This window comes from Homo sapiens, chromosome 11 (assembly GCF_000001405.40).
Source record: "Homo sapiens chromosome 11, GRCh38.p14 Primary Assembly".
Taxonomy (NCBI): Eukaryota; Metazoa; Chordata; class Mammalia; order Primates; family Hominidae; genus Homo; species Homo sapiens.
Window position 1 is genome coordinate 95,127,356 of NC_000011.10, and position 22,094 is coordinate 95,149,449.

The 22,094-nt window shown below is 42.4% G+C and overlaps 1 protein-coding gene and 1 pseudogene across 1 annotated transcript in view, besides 1 other annotated feature; both read left to right on the forward strand.

Annotated features, from left to right (window-relative positions):
• The window catches only part of ENDOD1 (endonuclease domain containing 1), a 42,800-nt gene extending 37,510 nt beyond the window's left edge, over window positions 1-5,290 (forward strand). The window contains exon 2 of the mRNA NM_015036.3: window positions 1,022-5,290. Within this exon, the coding sequence (NP_055851.1) occupies window positions 1,022-2,224 (1,203 nt within the window). The 3' untranslated portion in view covers window positions 2,225-5,290. The remainder of the gene's footprint in view (window positions 1-1,021) is intronic.
• BUD13P1 (BUD13 homolog pseudogene 1) lies at window positions 16,631-17,742 on the forward strand (annotated as a pseudogene).
• Window positions 19,954-20,584: a transcriptional cis regulatory region, noted in NCBI's record as "candidate enhancer chr11.4868 targeted for multiplex CRISPR interference". NCBI's record gives its function as "positively regulates ENDOD1 gene expression in K562 cells {active_cell/tissue: K562}" and the evidence as "EXISTENCE:mutant phenotype evidence [ECO:0000015][PMID:30612741]".

Consider the following 22,094-nt stretch of genomic DNA (forward strand, 5'->3'; position numbering starts at 1 on the left):
GCAATTGATATATAGCACATGTCTAGATTGACCAAGACACAAAATGAATTGTTAGTCATAGCAAATATTGGGGAGATTAAGTTCAAACAGCAACTGGTCTAATTTGAATTTTAGTTTTGCCTGATAAATACCTAATAACTGACACCAGACTGTACATTTTCCCCCATGTAATTTAAATGCGCTGATTAGAGTTGGTTATTTTTCATAAATCCGAAAATGTGTAAACATTCATTAGGAACATGTGCATTAAATTGCAACCAACATTGGTGGCTGATTAACTGAGTTGCAGTTCTGGCTTTATGGGCCTGTTGAGATCTACTCTCCCCTTGTTTTCTTTTTTAGAATTACTTTGAAGCTCATGCAAAAGTATTCCAAAAAAGAATTATGAAGTTCATGAAACTACAACAGATTTTTTTTTTTTTGAGACAGAGTCTTGCTCTGTTGCCCCGGCTGGAGTAAAATGGTGCAATCTCAGCTCACTGCAACCTCTGCCTCCCCGGTTCAAGTGATTCTCCTGCCTCAGCCTCCCATGTAGCTGGGATTACAGGCACCCATCACCACATCTAGCTAATTTTTGTATTTTTAGTAGAGATAGGATTTCAGCATGTTGGCCAGGCTGGTCTTGAACTCCTGACCTCAGATGATCCACCCGCCTCAGCCTCCCAAAGTGCTAGGATTATAGGCGTGAGCCACCGCACCTGGCCCCAGACTACAACAGATTTTAAAAAGAACATCACGATGGTGGGTGTGAGTGTGAGTGAAGGGGTGTTACTGTAGAGCAGGGTGGGATAAACACAGGTAATAGACTAGGAAACAGCCTATCTGAAAGATGCTTTGAAACACCAGGATTTTGGTATATCAGAATGAAGTGTCCATGTGCCAGAGAACCAAGTCCTTCCAAACTCAAGCGTTTGAAGTAATAGACCAGTGGGGACTTCTCCAGAGTCTGGGCAGGATGATTCTAGTGCTGCCTCTGTGCTGTAAGCAGGGATGCATCTCACCACTTGTTTTCTTCTTGCAGATCGATGACCCCAACAGCAACCTTGAGGAGGCGATTAATGAGGCAGAGGCCATCACCTCTGTGAACAGCCTGGGAAGCAAGCAAGCCTTGAATACAGATTACCTTGATTCTGATTACCAAAGAGGACAGCTTTACCCATTCTCCCTTAGCAGTGATGTCCAGGTGGCCACATTTACTCTCACAAATTCAGCCCCAATGACTCAGTCCTTCCAGGAACGGTGGTATGTGAATCTCCACAGCCTAATGGACCGGGCTTTGACCCCACAGTGTGGCAGTGGGGAAGACCTATATATCCTCACAGGCACAGTGCCCTCAGACTACAGAGTTAAAGACAAAGTGGCAGTCCCTGAGTTTGTTTGGCTGGCAGCCTGTTGTGCTGTCCCTGGAGGAGGCTGGGCCATGGGCTTTGTCAAGCACACCCGGGACAGTGACATCATAGAAGATGTGATGGTAAAAGATCTTCAGAAACTGCTTCCATTTAACCCTCAGCTGTTTCAGAACAACTGTGGTGAAACTGAGCAAGACACAGAGAAAATGAAAAAAATCCTGGAAGTGGTTAACCAAATCCAGGATGAAGAACGAATGGTACAATCTCAAAAGAGTTCTAGTCCCCTTTCTAGCACCAGGAGCAAGAGGTCTACTCTGTTGCCTCCAGAGGCATCTGAGGGAAGTAGTAGCTTTTTGGGAAAACTCATGGGCTTCATTGCTACCCCATTCATCAAGCTTTTTCAATTAATTTATTACCTTGTGGTAGCAATCCTGAAGAACATTGTCTATTTCCTGTGGTGTGTTACCAAGCAGGTGATTAATGGCATAGAAAGTTGCCTTTACCGCCTGGGCTCAGCCACCATCTCATACTTCATGGCCATTGGGGAAGAGTTGGTGAGCATTCCCTGGAAGGTGCTCAAGGTCGTGGCCAAAGTCATCAGGGCTCTCCTCCGGATCCTTTGTTGTCTGCTGAAGGCCATTTGCCGAGTTCTGAGCATCCCTGTCCGTGTCCTTGTGGATGTGGCCACTTTCCCTGTGTACACCATGGGCGCTATTCCAATTGTTTGCAAGGACATTGCACTGGGCCTTGGTGGCACTGTCTCACTGCTCTTTGACACTGCTTTTGGTACCCTGGGTGGCCTATTTCAGGTGGTTTTTAGTGTCTGCAAGCGGATTGGCTACAAGGTTACTTTTGACAATTCTGGGGAGTTATAAACTCAAAAAACTAATAGTATCCAGTCACAGTGAATTTGAAAGCTGGAATAGTTTGTCTTTACAATGGGTTTCTGTTCACTGTCAGTTATCATTATATTTTGGCCTTTGGTGGGGATGTCTGCTTGTTTTTGCAAAAGAAGATGGCAGAATTTAGACTTGACAGAGGAGAAATGCTCAGGGTGAGATTAGGTGTAGTAATCTGCTGTTTACCTCCAGTTATATGTGCAAACTCCCAAGCCACTAATAACTTCAGTTATGCACTCTAACACAGACGACCACCTGAAATGCACTGGTATTTATTTCTGATAATTAAAAATTACAGGGGAGGGAAGAACTAGAAAAAGAACAACTTTAGACCAAAGGTGTCTGAGAAAAGGAGAAAGGGAGCTTGTTCTTCCCATTGCTCTTTGTGATTTAAGGCAAAACAGATTAAAAAAAAAATCTGCAGCCAATTTCTTGGCATTTGCTTCTCTTTCTCCTCAACTCGACTGACCTTGGTGGAATGCAGATAATGCCTCTTTGTTGAAATAACTTTGTGGGAATGTACAATTTTCTATATCTCTTAGCTTTCCGTGGTTCTCAAGGATATGTACAGTTTTCATTTTCCTCCAAAGTTGAATTTTGCTACATTTTTCTTTTAGGTAATGATAAGCATTTTTTAAAAAATCATTTTTAGGTAATGGTAAGCATTTTATGCCAAATGTGGCATAACAGAGTTTGAATTGAAGGGCAAAGTTTTCTTTTCTTTTTTTTTTGGGCCCCTTGAATGGTATAATACAGTCCTCTCCGGTGGAAAGAAGAGAAGAGAAGGTGGACAGCCCTGCTCTTAGTAGGTGCTGCAGATCCAAGGACATCTTTTGTCCAGCTTGGATTAACTTGACGTGTATCCCTGCCTGACAAGGTTGAACTGAAAGATCTATATGTTAAGCTAACATGAAAATTCATATTCTGCAACATAGTAGATTTTTCTAATGCATGAAATAAGTACCCAGCACAGTAAAAATACTCTGACTTATGTCCCTAAATGGTTGTTTTGATACAACTATATAGAAAAGAGCCACAAAATAAAGATAAAAGTTATTGTGGCCATCTCTGAAAAAAATATATAAAATATTTAAGAATAATTATATCTTAGGAAATTATTTTTACAGTGTGTTTGAGGCTACAAACATAACTCCCCCATTAATACAAATTAAATGTGAGAGCTCATTCTCAAAATTTTTTTGATCAAGCACTTGTCATTTTAAATCTTGCACTAAAAAATGGTAACAAGAGGGACCAAACTTTGCTTCCCACAATTGGGATGGAATCACCTGGATTTTTCTGAATGTTTTAAAGAATTGCTGAGAGGTAGAAACAGCCAAGTATGAAATACTGATCTTGGGGCTACCGCCCAGGATCAATCAGAAAGTTATATGCAAAAATTCGGGGTCCCAACAAGGAGAGAACAATATGTCAACCATTTGCATGGGGTCGATGGATGAGAAACATGAGCGTAGCAAGAGTTACATTTTGCAGAAAAATAGCGGAGGCACACCCAGAGTAGAACAGCAGCCAGCAAGCTGCCATCCTGATCAATTTGTGATGCAAGGTTAGGGAGTATGAGCACCGCATGGGTCCATGCTAGGGAGATGTGCACCAGGCTTAGCTAAGAAACTTAAAGCAGTATTTTACCAACTCTTGTCTTAGGGAGCATAAAGTTTGGATGTCCCTTTATTTCAGCAGTGTGAAGGTAAATGGAAGGGTGAGGGTTTGACTTGGTACTGATTGGTCAAGAATCCTGCTGGATAAAGAAAAGGAATTTTAGAAGTGACCAGAGGGACAGTCCAGCCAAACTATTATTTGATAAGGAACCCAAGGCCCTGGGAGGCAACAGGCTAGCCCTTAGTTTCATGGCTAGCTGAGAGCAGATTAGGAGCCAACGTTGTTTGCACATGTCCCATCACACCTGAGATGTCAGACATGGGAAGTTCGTGCTATTATTCAGTTGCCTCTCTGGACCATGGCAAGATTTCCTCATTCATCAAACAGACTCCAGGCCCTGACAAAGCAGTTGGATTTGGCATGTGTGATGAAAACAATTAGCCATCCATGTACAACATTATGCTTACTGCATCCCATGGAAACTTAATTCCCTCCTAGCACATATTTGCATACTGAAAGGTCCGAAAAGGGCATCCACGGCAGCTTGAGCCCCTTAGCACCATGTAAGGAGCACAGCATCCAAACGGCTTCTTGAGAACCATTGGGGAATGTCTTTCTTTTTCACATCCAATTGTTTAGTGTCTATTTATTCTTGGGTGGCCAGTTTTGAAACCTAAAAAGGGACAATAAAGCAAAAAGTATCAGTAAGGATAGGTGGCTGAGACCCACTGCCCTGAGCTACTAGTGTGGCTGTGCCTGTGGGTCTCTAGAACCATCTGCATTGGACGTGAAGCCACAGCAGGTGGCTGGACTGCTGGCCTGTTCCTAATGAGCTACGCTGGGCTTTGAGGTAGAGGTTGGGGTTTATGAACCCCAACTCTGGCTTAAAGATCTTGCTGTGGCTCTGTTATGTTCTGAGGCCTTGGGATTAGCCTCTTCCTCATTATGGAGCTGATTTTCTAGTCTGTGGATCAGCTATGCCTTTGGACACTTCTCTTTTCCATTGTGCCTTTTGAATGTTGTCTTCTCACTCAGCATCAGCACTTCGATCTAAATGCAGACTAGGTAGTTGGGAGGAGGAACCAAAGTGAACCATCCTTCATTTATTCAGTCATTCGTTCATCTGTCAAACACGTATTTGGACATCAAGGTTGCAGAGATGAACAATGCATGGATTTCATCTTTGAGGAGTTCAAAACCTAGTGGAGAGAACACATGGTACAATCGTAACACATGAAGGACAAGTAAGTGCTGCAGTAAAGGTACTAATAACATGTTCCTTGGAACAGAGGAAGAAAAACCACGAAACCATGGAAATTAGGGAAGCCTTTACAGAGGGTGTGACAAAACTCAATTTGACATTTTCAAGCTATGTACAATGATGTGCACCTTGCAGATGCTCAATAAAGTAATTACTGACAACTCGTTAGCAGTTCTGTAAAATATCTAAAAGGGGAGAATCCTAATAGTTGAAATGAGGCTTGGGGACTGTGAATTGTTGCCATTTTCTTCTTGATCCGCATTAATTCAAGCAGCTTCCAGTGACTGGCTTTTGTTCATTTCTTTAAAAGTTTGCATCATACATGAAAAAACAGAGAGGTCTGGATCAGTGAAACAGGACTTAGAACTATTTTTTAATGTTATTGCTCTGCAAAGTATTTGGGACAATAAGTGTTTTTGATATCTTGCATAATTAAGCACCAAAGACTTACTGCTTCACTGAATCTGAATCACATAGAAAATTATAGAAATACTTTTATTAGTTTGTTTATTCATTAGGAAGCTCCCACAGTGAGAGAAATTACAAGCAGTCTCTGACGGGGGCTGGTCCTCTCTGTGGCCTTTAGTAGGGTGATCCTCTTGGGTGGAGGTGGCAGTAATTCTTGGCTGCCTTCCCAGTGTGGGCAGCATCTTGCCTAAGCTCACCACAGAATACGTGTTTGTCCAAATGTTACACTACAAGCCATATAGTGTGGACTGCTTGCTTTTCATTAATGGGTTCTCAGTCTTCCCATTGTCTCTCTTTGTAGGTATTTTCCCCCAGGTCATGGATTGATGTCTAACTCCAAATCAATTTTTAAGCTTAAATTTCAACAAAGAAAGTGCTTATAACCACTTGTCATCCTCAATTATCCATTGTGAGGAGGTGGATGTAAGATGACTTCTGGAGGCCAGTACTTCCTAATGATTAAGAGCCCACGCTCTAGAGTCAAAATGATGTAGGCACAAATCCTGGCTTCCCCACTTATTGTGTGATCTTCAGCAAGTTACTCACCTCGGCTTTCTCATCTATACAATTATGAGTACCTATCTCAAAGGGTTGCTATGAGCATTAAATGAGTTAATGAACATAAAGCATTCATCACTTACCATGCTTGGCACATGGTAAGTGCTCAGCAAATGTTAATTGTTGCTAGATCTATTGTGGGCAATGATATTTACACTTCTTGGACAAAATTGGTTTGATGGTGCCTTAGAGGTTAGGATGTTTCTAGATCAACGCTGGAAGAACCAGGATCAAAGTGTGGTCTGGGAGTCAAAGTCATGAATGAAAATGAAGCAAGCCAGAACCTCATCAGTGGTGTCCATGAATCTGAAGGTACAGATGAGGGTTGGACCTGGAGTCTCAAAAGAGAAGGGTCAGAAAACTGAAACTCAACATGTGTCCAGCACTATTCAGTTTTATCTCATAATCAAGCCTCCAAAATCCAAACACATTGTCAGCATCTGCTTTGAAGGTAAGCATTGCAGGTAGGATGAGGCAACCCAAAGATGGCATTGAGAAAGAGGCAGAGCCTCTTGGACACTGTGCCTGGTGAGTGTGGGTTGGTGGGGGAAAGGCAGGTGATCATTCTGATACAGGGCCTTGGGGTTAACTAGTTTTAGTTGTCCTGTGACACTTTTGGGAAAGTCTTCAAACCTTTGTGAGATTTAATTCCTTATCAATAAAATGTGGGTAATAAAAATATCACCCCATAGGGTTTTTTGTAAAGATCAAGTGAAACTAGCTTTGTAAACTATCAACTATCATAAAAATATAAAGATTCATAATTATAAGTTTCCAAGGTTGGTCCTATTTCTTTAAAAATTGGTGCATACTTCCATTTTTTTAAAGGTGAGTAGATGTGAATGAAAATTAAAGTGCTTATTCAGAAAGCATAAATGGCTTAGCCAGAAATTGGGTTTGACAGTAAATGTTGAACATTATGCCTTGGGAACTTAAGATTCTCAGAATGCTGCCTCATCCAGCCTTGAGTCCTACTTTCTTAAAACCCAATCAATCCCGTTTTCAGTAGATTCCTCCACACACCTCATGTCCATTTGCTGTCTGGCTCGGCTGAATCATTGAAATGAGTAATAGGCACTGAAATGAAAGACACCATATGAATCTTGTAAAACCTGAAAAGAAACAAGTGCGAGACAGTGAACAGTCCTGGTGAGTCTGAGAACTGGCAGAAGCTGCCTAGACCGCCCCTGGCAGCCTGCACACTCAAGGCCAGCCCAGGCCTGCCACTGACATCTGTCCCTGAGAACATCAGACAGCAGCTTCTGGGCTTTGTTTAGGCTGCACCAAGTGTGTGTTTCTCCAGCATTCTTGCTGATTTGGCATATCCAGATGTATTCTGTTTACTGCGTCTGGAAGGAAACTTCCAGGGGAATAGAAGTCTCAAGTGAGGAAGTGGCAGGCTTATGTAAAGGGGAGAGTGCACCTGGAACACAGGAGCCCTGAGTTTCCCTCCTCTGAGTTACTGTACATTTTCTGGTTGTAATCACTGGTATATTTGCAAAACAAGAGAGGGACCATCTCTAGGGTCTTCTCAAATTGCAGGCAATAAATCCTTGCTTTTCAACAAGTACTTTCATATATTTGGGTCACAGAGATTCTGATTGCATTCTCTCAACTTATCTCTCCTATCTGAAGGTTACCAAAAGTCAGAGAAATTCCCTGCGATGTTATCAGGAAGGACAGGGAATGATACATCCTGAAAACATCGTTATTTTTATTATTATCATCAGCATTTCTTCTCCCCAGACTTAGAGAATTAATTAGCAGGGTTGCCATTAGGTGGTGGCCAACCTAAGAGTAAGAAATGTTAGTAATGCCCCTGGCTTCTATTTAACTCCCTCAGTAGCCTGAAGGGTTGCCAGAAATCTCACCACTTGGCACGCTTCCTGTAGACTAGGAAAATACAAATAATCTGAAAGAAGTTAACACATTGTGTCAATGCTAGCAACTTAGGGTAAATGATTTTATGAAATCCTTCCTACTAGCTGGGAACAATTCTACATGCAAGTAATTTTTTTTTTGAGACGGAGTCTCGCTCTGTCGCCCAAGCTCCGCCTCCCAGGTTCACGCCATTCTCCTGCCTCAGCCTCCCGAGTAGCTGGGACTACAGGCACCGGCAACCACGCCCGGCTAATTTTTTGTATTTTTAGTAGAGATGGGGTTTCACCGTGTTAGCCAGGATGGTCTTGATCTCCTGACCTCGTGATCCGCCCGCCTCGGCCTCCCACAGTGCTGGGATTACAGGTGTGAGCCACCGTGCCCGACCACAAGTAATTGTTTTGATTGGTAAGAGGTATGGTGGGAATACCATATTGAGAGTCAGGAGGTGCCTGTCTTAGACCAGCATCCTGTGGAACTGGAGCCTTACCCCAAGTGAGCCCTTTATTGTAAGGGCTGGAGACAAAGTGAAAGACCCTGTAAGATCTTAGAAATCAGGCCACAGAATTTTTCTCTAAATGTCTAATATTAGATCAGTCCATAATGGATCAAAGTAGAAATGCACACCTGAAAGAAATAACAAGCGTGTTGGGCCTATTGCACTCATAACCAGTGGTATGCTGGTAAATGTTGAACCACCAGCTTTCTGTGTTTGCGGGGAGAGCACCCTGATTTGTAATGTTTGCCAATTTCTGTGGTGTCAATATTTCCATCACAGCTGATGTCAAGCTGCCAATGTGACATCACTGAAAGCAGCATTGGGAAGAGATGTACACAGCCTGGGCTCCTGAGCTAGTGCAAGTCACTGGGAACTGGCTCCCCCATACCACTAACTTCATCATCCAATTGAGTGCATAAGATACACAGAAGGAACATTTCCAGCAGAAAAGAATTGAACAGCTATAGTATGGCAGAGGGAGGAAAATCACTGAAACAAATACTGACCATGCCCTTTTGAGTACTATTCAGGAGAGAGGAAGGCTTGACAATCTGAACTTTAAATATTTCGAAATCCAAAGACTACATCCCCAGCCCTGTAAAATAAATTCATAAGGTTATTTTAGCTCAGTGCCATTAAACAATAACTTATCTAATGCCTTATTTTCCATCCTTTTCCAGTCAAACAAGCTTCTGCTCATGGCCTGGCTTTCTTTTTTTTTTTTTTTTTTTTATTATACTTTAAGTTCTAGGGTACATGTGCACAATGTGCAGGTTTGATACATAGGTGTACATGTGTCATGTTGGTTTGCTGCACCCATCAACTCATCATTTACATTAGGTATTTCTCCTAATGCTATCCCTCCGCCAGCCCCCACCCCCACAACAGGCCCCAGGGTGTGATGTTCCCCGCCCTGTATCCAAGTGTTCTCATTGTTCAGTTCCCACTTATGAGTGAGAACATGCGATGTTTGGTTTTCTGTCCTTGTGATAGTTTGCTGAGAATGATGGTTTCCAGCTTCATCCATGCCCCTGCAAAGGATGCAAACTCATCCTTTTTTATGGCTGCATAGTATTCCATGGTGTATATGTGCCACATTTTCTTAATCCAGTCTATCATTGTTGGACATTTGGGTTGGTTCCAAGTCTTTGCTATTGTGACTAGTGCTCATGACCTGGCTTTCTATGTTGGTTTGCCTCTATGGTCCAAGTACGCTGAACATACAGATTTCAAACTCTCTTGGCAATGCTATACTAAAGCAACTTGAACAAGTGGTTTTTGATTATGTTTTGGCTTCCTGTGTAGCTTAAGTACATAATGTACATAAGATGATAATGGGAGTGCTCTAGTCTATATATCAGCTCTATTTTTAATGTAAATTAATAAAATTTCATTGTAGTATTGTCCTTAATCTCTTGTGTGTCCTAGCATGAATCCCTTTCTTAGAGTCTTATTGCTTCCAGAAGCTCAGCAGAGCCCACATCTGAGCTTTCAAATCTGGAAAATATTTCAGGTTGTGGTATTCAGACCAGCAGAGAGAATTCTGCACAGCCTTGGTTAGCTTTCCCTGAAATACCACTGCCACATTTCCATCTCCTGTCTCAGACTCACCTCTGAGCTCTGCAACCTCTGTCTGTGAATCAAATGTCACAGGATGTGTTGAAAATCAATAAAAACTCATCCTCTGCCATTGGATGGCAGAATGCATTAGTTAGGATACCTTTGCCTGCATGCAATAGAAACCCCTCTCAAACTAGCCTTGTCCCAAATTTACTGGATCATATAACAAGAATTTAGAAGGGGCCTCTTGAATCAGGGACTCACAAAATGACAGAACTCTATCCACTATCAACAACTCTTTGTTGTCTTCATTCTCACCTAGAGTAAATGATATTTCTTCATACACTGTGAAGCACAGGGAGCTCTGAATATTCACCCTGATGGTCTCATATCTGGAGGAGGAAAGCTCCTGTGTTAGTTCTGGCTGGGAGAATCCCCAGGAAGGTTTCTTTTTCCTAGTTGGGTACATGCAATCCTTGAGTCAATCACTGTGGCTGAGTGAGTGCAATAAGATGATTGACCCAGACTGGATTATGGATCCATATGATGGTGTTGGTAGTTCTCATAGGAAGGACAGAGGAGAGGAAGCAAGATAGACATCCGCAGTAGTCCCTCATAGACTGACTTACAGCTTTATTTAAGACGTATAATGATGCCCTTTCAATTTATTAGGTGGCTTTTAACTTGCAAAGCTCTTTCATGTTTATCAGTGGACTGCATCAGAACCACAGATGTGTTTGGTTTCTCTTAAAAACAGAAGCTATGGCCAGCATTTCCTCAAGGCCATAACAAGCTACAGCTGAGTAGACAGGGCCAGCATCCTACAGTTTGTCATAGTCTCCATGGTGTCTCTATTGCCTCTCTGACCTGATCCACTTTGCTCATTTAACTTACTTACCTGGCTCCTGTAGCCTTTTGGGTTTGCTGATCCCCGATGTGATCTCACGTCATTCACATCTATTCTGTGAACACTGATTATTCCCATTTTATTTTAAACCAAGATTCAGAGATTCAACTGACTTTCCTATGGTCACACAATTAGAAGGTGAGACCCAGAACCTAGATTTTAGAGATGAAGGCTGTTCAGTCCCCTGCACACGGTTGTAAGTTATGCAGAGGTTTCATATCTGCTATGTGAAGGGAGCCCTCTAGGGTTGTGTAGTCAATACTATATGTGGAAGCCCTGAGGCTATTTTCCCTTCCATTTCACCATAGTCATAATACTGTCACAAAGTTAGTTGAAATAATGCACTTCCTTCAAAATTTATTGTAGAACAAGTACTCGTGACTAAGTAAAATGATAAATGATCAGATTGGAACAAATAATTCAGTTAATTATATCACTAAGTCTTACCAGAGACAATAGTAAAACTTGTCTGACTTATGCAAATAATATAGTTAGGTCTGCAGTGGAGAACTCGCTCTGTAATGTCCACAACTATTTTAGGAGTGATTTTACTGTCTTGAAATTTTTCTTGCTATACAAATAACCTTAATCTCCCAGTTTCCGTGTGATTAAAATGAGAGGTTTGCACTCAGTTTTCTAGTGAGACAATGATGCTTAATCCTGATTGCACGTTAGAATTGCCGGGGAGGTTTTATTGATTTTTTTAACTAATGTTAGGGTCCCATCTCTAGTGGTTTTAAAATAAGCTTCAATAAAGAAGATATACAAATAGCAAAAAGTACATGAAAAGATGCTCAACCCCATTAGTCATTACAGAAATTCAACTTAAAATCACAATGAGATCAACTGTACTCACTATATAGTATAAAGTAGACCCATGCAAGGATGGCGAGGATGTGCAGCAACGGAGCTCTCATTTAATATTAGTGGAAATGTAAAGTGGCACAACCACTTTGGAAAGCTGTTTAGAAGTATCTTAAAATGATAAACTTACGTCCACCATATGATTCAGGCTTTCCACTCCTAGGTATTGATCCAAGAGAAAAGACAACATACATCAATACAAAGACATACCATGCAATGTGCATGTTCGGAGCAACTTTATTTGTAACAGTCCACAACCGGGAAAAAAAAAACCAAATGTCCAGCATCAGTTGAATAAACTATGGTATAACCATAAATGAATGCTATTTACCAATAAAAAGGAACTGACATATATAACCACATGGGTAAATCTCAAAAAAATTATGCTGAGTTAAAGAAGCCAGACGAAAGACAACATATGATATGATTCCATTTGTAAAAAATTCTAGAAATGTAAATTAATCTATAGTGACAAAAAGCAGATCTGTTTTCTTGGTGATGGGATGGGGAAGTAGGGGAAAGATTACAAAGGGCATGAGGAAACTTTATGAGATATTGTATATGTTCATTATCTTGATTATAGTGAAGAGTCAGGATGTATATTTATGTCACTGTGCATCAAATTGATTGTTAAATATGTGCAGTTTATTGTATATCAATTATACCTCAATACAACTGTAAACAACAATACTGATGCCTAGCTCTCAGTCACAAAGATTCTGATTTAATTGGTTTAGGTGGGGCCTTGGCATCTGTAAATATTAAAAACATCACCTATGATTCTATTGTACAGCCAGGGTTGGTTCTGTGATTTTAGATCATTATAACTGCCCTGGGCCAGGTAGTTTGGGAGAAACCTCCCGCACTTTTTAACTAGAGCAAAAGGGGATCACCCACACAAGAGCTGCTGCTCATGCATGCAAAGTGCTCCAGTCAATCACCTCAGTGTTCAAGGCTCAGACCTGGCCTCTAGAAGATGGAGCTACTTGGCCTTTCACAGAGCATGAGCCCCCTCCATCCCTGCCATCTATCCATCTACTCCAGCTGGCTTAATGCCCTCTTGAGACTCCATTTTCCCTTCAAAGCTTCCTCTGGTGAGCATGTCAATGATATGTAAACTATATAAAGATGTCAGTGTGTATGTGTAGAAATAGTGTGACTTGCTCCAGGCAGACATCTCCTAATAACACCTGTCGGTATACCTTGGGCAGGATAAGACACTGACATCAGCTGCTTAAAGGCAGCAAACTGCAGATCCCGAATCCTGAAATGTGGAGGAGAAATGCTCCCCACTCTGGTGGTCCCAGTGATGGCAGCAAAACTTGACCAATAGGGGGCTGCCCCTTTTGGTAAATGGTCTTTCTACTCCACCCTGAGACACAGCGAGAAAGATCTTGTTACAAATTCTACTCCACTTCTTAGTAAGTTAAGCTAGTCACTTAAGCTCGTTTTCCCTTTATTTCCTCACTTCTAAAATAGAGATAACATAATCTTCCTTGTTTACCATAACAGGGTTATTGTGGGGATCAAATGAGAAAATGAATGTGATCATGCCCTATAAACACAAAGGCATTATTATGTACCATGATTATCCTAGTGTTTTATAGAAGGGAGCAGTAAAGGCATAGACTCACTTGGTGGGAAACTGGATGAGCCTCCTGGAGTCTGAGTGGGTGTGAGGAATGACATCATTGCAGTCTCCAGAAACTGGACTTGCTGTTTCCATGACTTGAGTAATATCATAATCATGATGATAAGGATATCTACAAAGAATTGTACACTTAGGTCTAGACACTGTAATAAATTGTACATCTATTTTTTTCTGAGCTTACAGAGGAGGGCACTGAGGCTTAGAGAGGTTAACTACCTTGTCCAGAGTCACACAGCCAGTAACTGGACTTGGGTCTTGACATACCAAAGTCCTGCTCCAGAACCCACAGCAATAACCAAATGAGCCTTCTCCTACAAGGGAATGACTCTCAGCTCAGTATTTTAATAAATGACTTAGGTGCTTTTTGCAGGTATTCTCAATCTCAAAGCAGGCAAAGCTCTGCTAGGAGACAGGTGCTTTGTTCTAGAATTTTCTGTGCTATCTGAATATGACAGAGGGTGTTTATGATTGAGTTTTCCATGCAGATGTTTTTCCTTAGCTTCTAAAAACAAACCTAGTGAAATAAGAGTAGGGTTATCAGGTAGGTTGCAGAACCTAGGGTGATCTGCCTTGTAGAGTTTGTGGTTAATATTCATTTGTTGAACCTTCATGCCCACCAGCCTGTATATTAGGCACAAAGAGTAGACCAAAAACATAGTCATGTACCTGCTACTACAGTGCTTGTACCAAATGCCTACATACTGTGGCTGGGGAGGTTAGAAGACTGATAAGCAAATAATATGGTAGACAAAGAACTAATGTCCTTAATATATACATAGAGCTCACAAAAATGCCTAAGAAGAATGCTTTCACCATTGTGTTGTTGTTATATAAAGTCACAGTTTATCTTTTTGAAGAGAATGAGTTTATAGAAAGGCAGATTAGGAATGCAATCTTTCCCATGTGACATCCTTTCTTTATATGTATTTTTATTGTCAGAAAAATAATTTCATGGGCAAAGGGTTTCAAAATATGAGTTCTCATTTTGAGAAGGGAAAATGCGAAGTTGCTACAAAAAAACTTATCTTTAAGAAAGAATTCAGATTTATAAATGCATTCAGCCACTCTGACTAGAGGTGAGGTTGTAGAATGGGGGTGTCTTATCTGTTGCACTCCCTGGCCTGAAATACCATTTCAGTGCTCAACTCCTGGCTTCCCTGAGTAATTCCAGCCCCCATTTGAGAGGTTTGATTTCATAGGACTGTGGAGAGTCTCTTTCAGGAAAACAAAGATCGAGCAATGCTGATCACAAGCTGCTGGAGCTGGATCCCCTCTAAGGGGCATGCCCAGGGAGTCTCATAGCCCTGCCAGTTTGACAGCAAAATGGTACAGACAGGAAACCTGCACTCTCTCTTGCTCAGGCTGATCCTGGTTAATGTCCAATGTTCCTTTGAGAAGGATCAAGGACTCTGGGTCTACTGGCAGCCTGAACTGCCTCCTGCAGCTCTCTTTGCTCCCGTCATCCTCGGTCTGTTTAACCAACTTCCCAGAAACCATCCATTGATCTTCCAGTACGTTGGTCAGTGGAGATGAGATTGAGTCAGATGAGGAACCCATCCTTGAGGAACTCGTGATCAAGTTGTCCCTCTGTTTGATCAGTCTTTCAAGTGTCCTTGCCTTCTAGCTTCTTTTCTTCTACATTCCCAGAGCAATGTGGCCCTGGAGAATGATTCATTTAGTACCAGCTACTGCATTGTGTGGTGAGAAGGGAGAGGATATAGGAAAAATGCTTCTGTAATAGCTGCTATGATGCCATTGGTGTTGTTGGCAGTCACCACCCTCCTTCCTAACTCTACTGGCAGGCTGTGGAGGCAGGCTGTGATGTCCAGCTGCAGATTTCTGATACTGTCAAAAGTGCTCACATCCCACAGCCCCTTGAGCTGTATTATTCCTTGGAGAAGAGTTCCACACAGCTCCACTCAGGGCTCCAACTCCAAGCCGTGGGTTGGACAAAGAAGACAGGGGAGGTGATCTAATCACCAACACACATCTCTCTGCAGTACATTTATAGAAGACTCGTAAAGTTACTCACTTTGAGAAATTAGATGCTGTGTAGATGTTGTCTCCAAATGCTAACATTATGTAAGGACATGACATTGCTTTCTTCACAAGGAAGAGGAAAAGCAATTTTCCTTGCTTGGCTCAGGTTGATCATGTGAGAAGAGCACAGAAAAAATCAACTATTAAATAGTGGGAAACTACGTCCATCACCACTGAGGGAGATGGCGTTTTGAATATAATGAAAATGGAACTGATCAGTGAAGAAGCTCTCGGGCTCTGTCTAGATTGTGTTTTAGCAGGCCTTACCCCTGAAAACTATTTTATTTTTAATCTTCATCACACGAATACCCTTTCCCTTGAGTGAGTAGCATCATCAACTGCTTGGGCATTTCCCCAGATCGAGTCAGGCTTAGCTGGATGGGCATAAACACTGTGGACATGACTAAGCTTAATTCCATTACATGAATTGCTTGCAAAAAATAGACGAATCCCCTTAGGACCTGAATAAGGAGTTTCCCAAAGTTGTGAGGCCCTGAGTGGACCTCTCCCTGCTATGTTTTCCTCAGAGCGCTGATCTGGGACCTGAGAAACAGGGTGCACCTGTTAATGTGGTTTCTCCTCCCTGCCCCACTAAGTCACAGAGCCTGACATGCTGTTGCTCTAGTAGCTACTCTGCCACTCTCAGTCATCACACTTCTGACATGTCACTTGTCACTGGTACTGATGAGTGCTTCAGATTCAGTAGCAAGCATGGCAGGGCCAGTGGCAGGAGGATGGAGGTTGTGGACCATCATGTGCGTGGACCATGGTATGATCTGTCTTCACCACTAAACTGGAAAATGAAGAAGATGATGATGGAAATTTTCCTGTGGATATGAGATGGGTGGGGACACAGACGGAGCCCTTTTGGACCAAGGACATGGAAGCAAGAAGGAAGGCCTGTCCTTCCACAGGCATTCTTGCCATGACTCCATGGATTCATCTCTCCCTAGGAATGCTGTCATGATTTCCAAGATCCTTCGCATCCTAGGAGTGATCAGCAAAACTACTCAGACCTGTCTGCCCTGAAGAGCATCCACTATGAACCTCCAGACCCATCAGTCTAGGAGGGCTATTGACTCCTTAGAAGCAGTGCAAAGTAGGAGAGCACATCGGCACTCTCCAGGTGCATCTCTTGCTGGAGAAATAATCATGACTTCCCAGATCTATTCCCCCCTCCCTCCCTCAGGAAGACCTATCTTAACTCTCCAGCAGAGACATCTCCATCCAGCAGGACCTTCCATGATTTTCCAGGTTGGCTTCCAATATCTATCACTTTCTACCCAGAATAAAAATGAGCAAGATATGAAAAAGAGCCTCCAGCAAGTCTTTTCCACATTGGAAGAGCCAGGAACCTCTCATTTGTTCCAAAAAGCAGCAAATAGAAATACAATTCAGACCTCTCTCCACCATGAAAAAAAAGCAAACAAAATCCCATTCTGAAAGTAAGAAGTAGCATGCCTTCCAAGCCTCTTTCCCCAGCCATAGCAAACTTCAGATAAGCTCTTTGTCTAGAAGTCACACTCTGGATCTCCTTACCACCAGAGTGGGTACAGGAAGTCCTCTGACTCAGATCCGTCTCTCTGTGGAATAGACCTTGGCCAAGGAGCTCTGATTCTGGAGACGGGGGAGCAGCTCTTCTGATTCCAATCTGACCCTGCTCCAGATGGGTCAAGTTCCTGCAGATAAGGCTAAGTACTTGCTTTCCTGGGCCCAAACTGACATGCAGTGAAAACCTTAGGAGCTTAGGTGAGCCAAAGAAACCACAGAGTTTGAAGTTGAATTCCAAATGCCAAAGCCATATTTTAGTAACTTTAAACTGGATTATTTAGACCAAAGGAGAAATGCAGAGAAGATGAGGAGTCCCCCCAGTGGGGAAAGGGGCTGGCACAGAGCCAGCCAGAACAATAGAGTATGGAGGTGCCGAAGCCCCTGGATGGCTGTGTGGATGAACACTTGCACTGAATGCTCAGAGGACAGGAGAGAGGAATCCCATGGCCAAATTGATTGAGAAGAATTAGCCTAAGGAGATCAGAGATAAGAAAGTGAGGACTCACTGCAGTGGTCTGGCACCTCCTTCCAACGGATTCAATATCTGGCTGGGACACCGCAAGGATGGAGAGAACAGATCCAGTGTGTTTGACCCAAGGCAATTTGCAGGCGTGCAAGCAAGAAGACAGTCACTGTTGTGACTGAACGTATGAGCATGGGGGATGGACCTTCAGCTGCTACATCTATCTTGACTAACAATCAGGGCTTACCCAGATCAGCAGCAACTTGTTGGGCACCAACTTTGGTCCTAGGAGGATTTGGGGCTGGAAATTCTAATTAGGGGCACCATGAACTTCTCAGCTATTCTAATATAGAGGAAACACTGGTTTTTCAGTACCCTGAGGACATCTAGAGTTTATTCTGCTTAGAGTTTTTCTCTATTTTACTTTTCTTTCTGTAGCTGAACATATCCATATTTATTAGAAAAAGTGCAAAGCCCCTTAATTTGTACTTCTAGCATTAATAAGCGGGTAGAGGCAAGACCAGAACTGGGGAGTGTTCTCTTCCTTAGACAGCAATCAGCAGCTCAGACAGCATCTCTGGCAGTTGGCTGTAAAGACCACTGACATCAACAAGATCCCACATTTTATGAGCAATAACTTGGGTTCAAAAAATGCAAGTTTATAGCAAGAAGGTGAGTTACGTAACACATACTCAAGGAAAAAAGCAAACAAAATTGGTCAAAGATAAGCCAAAAGGAATACATCCCAGCCAATGCCGGACAAGATGGAGATGAAGAAGAATCTCTTTGGGCTATAAAATGACTAAGCAGAGAAATTTGGAGGCGAATGGCAGAGCCTCCTCCTCTTCCAGATTGACTGTTTAGAGGTTGACAGGGGCATCATGCCCTGCCATTGCTTCATTTCTGCTTAGAGACAGTATTAAAAGTTCCTGGACAGGTGCCAAAAGTACCGTTGACATGCAATGAGTCTCACAAGACCATCACCTTCAGGGTGTTGAGCAGAGAAGCTGACCAGGCAAGTTTCAAACACACTGGAACAGTTTCTCTCCACTTCCACTTCAAGAGGGTGGCACCACCACCAGACCTCCTGGCATGAAGAGGCTCCACTCCTACTGAGAAATAGTTTTCCTCCTTGGCCATCACTGCCTTACATTTTTGCCGCCACCCTCACATGTGGTCCTACACCCTCAGAGCCCTGAGCTACTCTTACTCTGTTGTGTCTGCAGCTCTCTGGTTCTAATCCTGGCACCAGGAATCCACCACCAACTTCCGGGGTCTACTACCAATTTCTAGTGTTTGCCTTTCATTGCTGATTTTCATATCCAGGCCCAGAAGTTCACCCACCAACCATTGCAATTTGCCCCCAGGTCCCAGGGGTCCAGCAGCTTCTGGATTCACCCCAGCCTCTTAGGTTGCACCCAGTGACCCAAGAGTACACACTGATTCTCAACTCCCCATTCCTCCTCTTTTTCCAAATGAAAAGCTCTACCCTTTTCCCCCTCAAGCTTTATTTTTTCTTCTAATTTCCCATCTTTTTCTCCATAGGGAAGTTTTGGTGATTTTGTATAGGGGCCTGTACTGTCCCCAGAGTTGATTAAATAGATTCTACCCCCCACCCCATGATATGAATACACTGTTGCAACAAAAACTATACTAAGCTGCTAAATGAAAGAGCCCTGTACTCTACTGTTTTGTAATAAACTACAGTTACAGCCCTGCAGAGAAACATTAATACAAACAAGGAATAAGTTTCAAATAAGAAAGAGGAGAATAAAGAGGAGAAATGATTAAAGGGAAACTGAGCAATGAAGCAAACTTTTGTCTATCCATGCAAATTCTCCTGCTCCCAGTACCTTGTGAGTTGTAGATGACGCTCCTCAGCAGGTTAGGCTGAGAATAAAGGGCCCAATTCAGATGACTCCTCTGCTCTGGTGAGTTACCTCCTCTGTTTCTTAAAAGGAGAAAACTAGAGCTTTCTCTGATGTGACACCAAACTTATGTTTATTTTTTAAAATTGAAATTCTAACCCTTATATTTGTGTGAAACCCATGGTTTGTGAAACATTTTTAAAAACAATTTTAAGAAGCCATAAAACATGGCTGCATGTGGGAAACTATGATAGCTAATAACCGTAGCAGCTGCCAACTACTTGGCTGTAAAGGACTCGAACTCCAGCGTTTTTTTGTTTGTTTGTTTGTTGGCTGATTTTACTTGCCTATTAAACACTCAGCCTATTAAAAACTTAGCGTTGCTCATGAAACTTGAGAAAGCAGATTACACTGCTAATTTTCCCTGATGTAGTTGTGTGAAATAAATTTGAATTAAATGAATCTCTGGCATTTTTCTGAACCCACACAAAAAGAAATGCATTTTTTTGGTGGCTGTTTTCTTCTTCTTCTCTCTCTCTCTTTTGTTTTGTTTTATTTTGGTGCCTCTAGGAGCTGGGGCCTCAATGATGAACAAGATCCAGGCATTGGCCTTAAAGAGCCCACAGGCTGGTGTTCAAGATCCAGGCAAACCCCTCCTTCCTTGACAAGGGTCAGCTTTGAGCAAAGATGGGTAAGTGGATGTGTAAACAGCCAACTTAGGTATATGGAGCAAGAAGGCAAAGAGCTGGAGAACTGCCACTCAGAATACAAGTTGATGCACAGAAAATATATCAGCAGAATCCAGAGCACCAGGAAGCTGAATCAGCAGAGCTGGCCGATAGTGAGATGACTCACCCCATTCCATGCAGGGGAAATGCATCTGTCTTCTTCGTATCCTCTCTCCCTGCACATATGACACTGAGCAGAAACTCTTCATGTGTTTGCCTCTGGCCCTGGGCTGTGTCTTAGTTATCTTTCTATCCCACTTCCTGACATTACCATCTACCACACTTTCTGGTGCGGAGCGAGGCTTAATAAATAATAGTTGTATTAAACAAGCATTCAAGAAGAAATGTCCTCACTAAGTGGGAGGTTGAACTAGAATAGCTCCCAAATTCTGTTCTACTTGGAGATTCTATGATTATGTAGACAGTCTGGCATGGGATAGGTGCCCACTAAATATTGATTCAGATGATGCCTGCTTAGTTTTGCAGTTATTTGTGCCCATGTTTTATCTCCCCATATAATCAGCTTACTTTTTTCTGCAACCGTATTAATTATTTACGAAGCACATTAGTAATCAGTTTGCATGCATTGTCTTCCTTGATTTCACATAACCCTAGGAGCTAGTGATTTAGTTTCTATTGCTGCATAACAAACCACTCCATAACTTAATGGCTTAAAACAACCATTTATTATTATCTGTCTTGGTTTGTATACTAACTGGGCTCAGTTTATTCCCATTCTTTTTGGGGTCCCAGATGTGGGCTGGTGCTGCAGTCTTCAGAAGGCCCAAAGGTGCTGGATGTCAGGAGAGCTCACTCGGTGGGCAGTTGATGCTTGCTGTTGGCTGGGACTGTTAGCCAGAGCACCTACACATGGCTTTCCAAGTGTTCAGGCTTCTCACAGTATGGTGGCTGGGTTGGAAGAGGGAACATCCCAAAAGACTCACACAGAATGACTTAGCTTGTATGAACTAGCCTTGGAAGTCCCAGACCATCACTTTTGCCACATTCCAATGCCCAAGTAAGTCCCTGAGGCCAGCCCAGATGCAAAAGAAGGGGAATTAGATTTCATCTGTTGATGGAGGAATGGCAAGGTCATTTCTGAAGAGCAGCTGAGATGGAAAGTATTTTGTAGGCATTTATGGAAAATGCCATCTGCCACAGTAGTTACTATTAATATCTCTTTCTACACAGGAGAAAATTTCACAATGACCTAGCTAAGTTATATGATTAACCTGCTTGTTCAAGATCAGCCAGATCCAGATGTCATCTAATTTAGTAACCATTGTACTTCACTTAGGATAGTGTTCTAAAACTTTAATAAGGAAGGAGTCACCCCTTTCAAAAATGCAGTATTAGTATCAAGAATATGAAAACATAAATTCTAGTAAAATTTATAAAGTAGAAATATAAATTCTAGTAACACTTGGGATGCCATGTTCAATAAATATTACTGAAGGAGGAGCTAACATCTGCTGCACTGCTTCAGTGGTCCAGGCACTCATACACTATATATAAACTCACTTAATCCTCACAGTTATCTTTTCCCCCCAGATGAAAGTGAACTTTAGAGGGATTAAATGCCTTGCCCCAAACCAAGTAACCACTTAGCGACAGAGCCAGGGTTTGAACACAGTCATGTCTCAGTCCACATTCCATGTGCTTTCCACTGAGCTCCATGTTACAGGTTGGGCTCCCCAGGAATCAGTCTCTGAGATGACAGTAGCATGCAGGAAGTTAGCAAAAAAGTGCTCAAGGGGAACACACGTGGGGAAGGGGAAAACTCAGGATTAGGCAAAGGAGAAGGTGGGCAGGTAGAACTAGAGCCAAGCAAATGCCAGCCAGCCTTTTTGGAGGGTTTGGGTGGATAACGGACAATGTCAAAAACAGCATTAATTTTCAATCCTGGGTGGTGGAAAGACTATATATATGT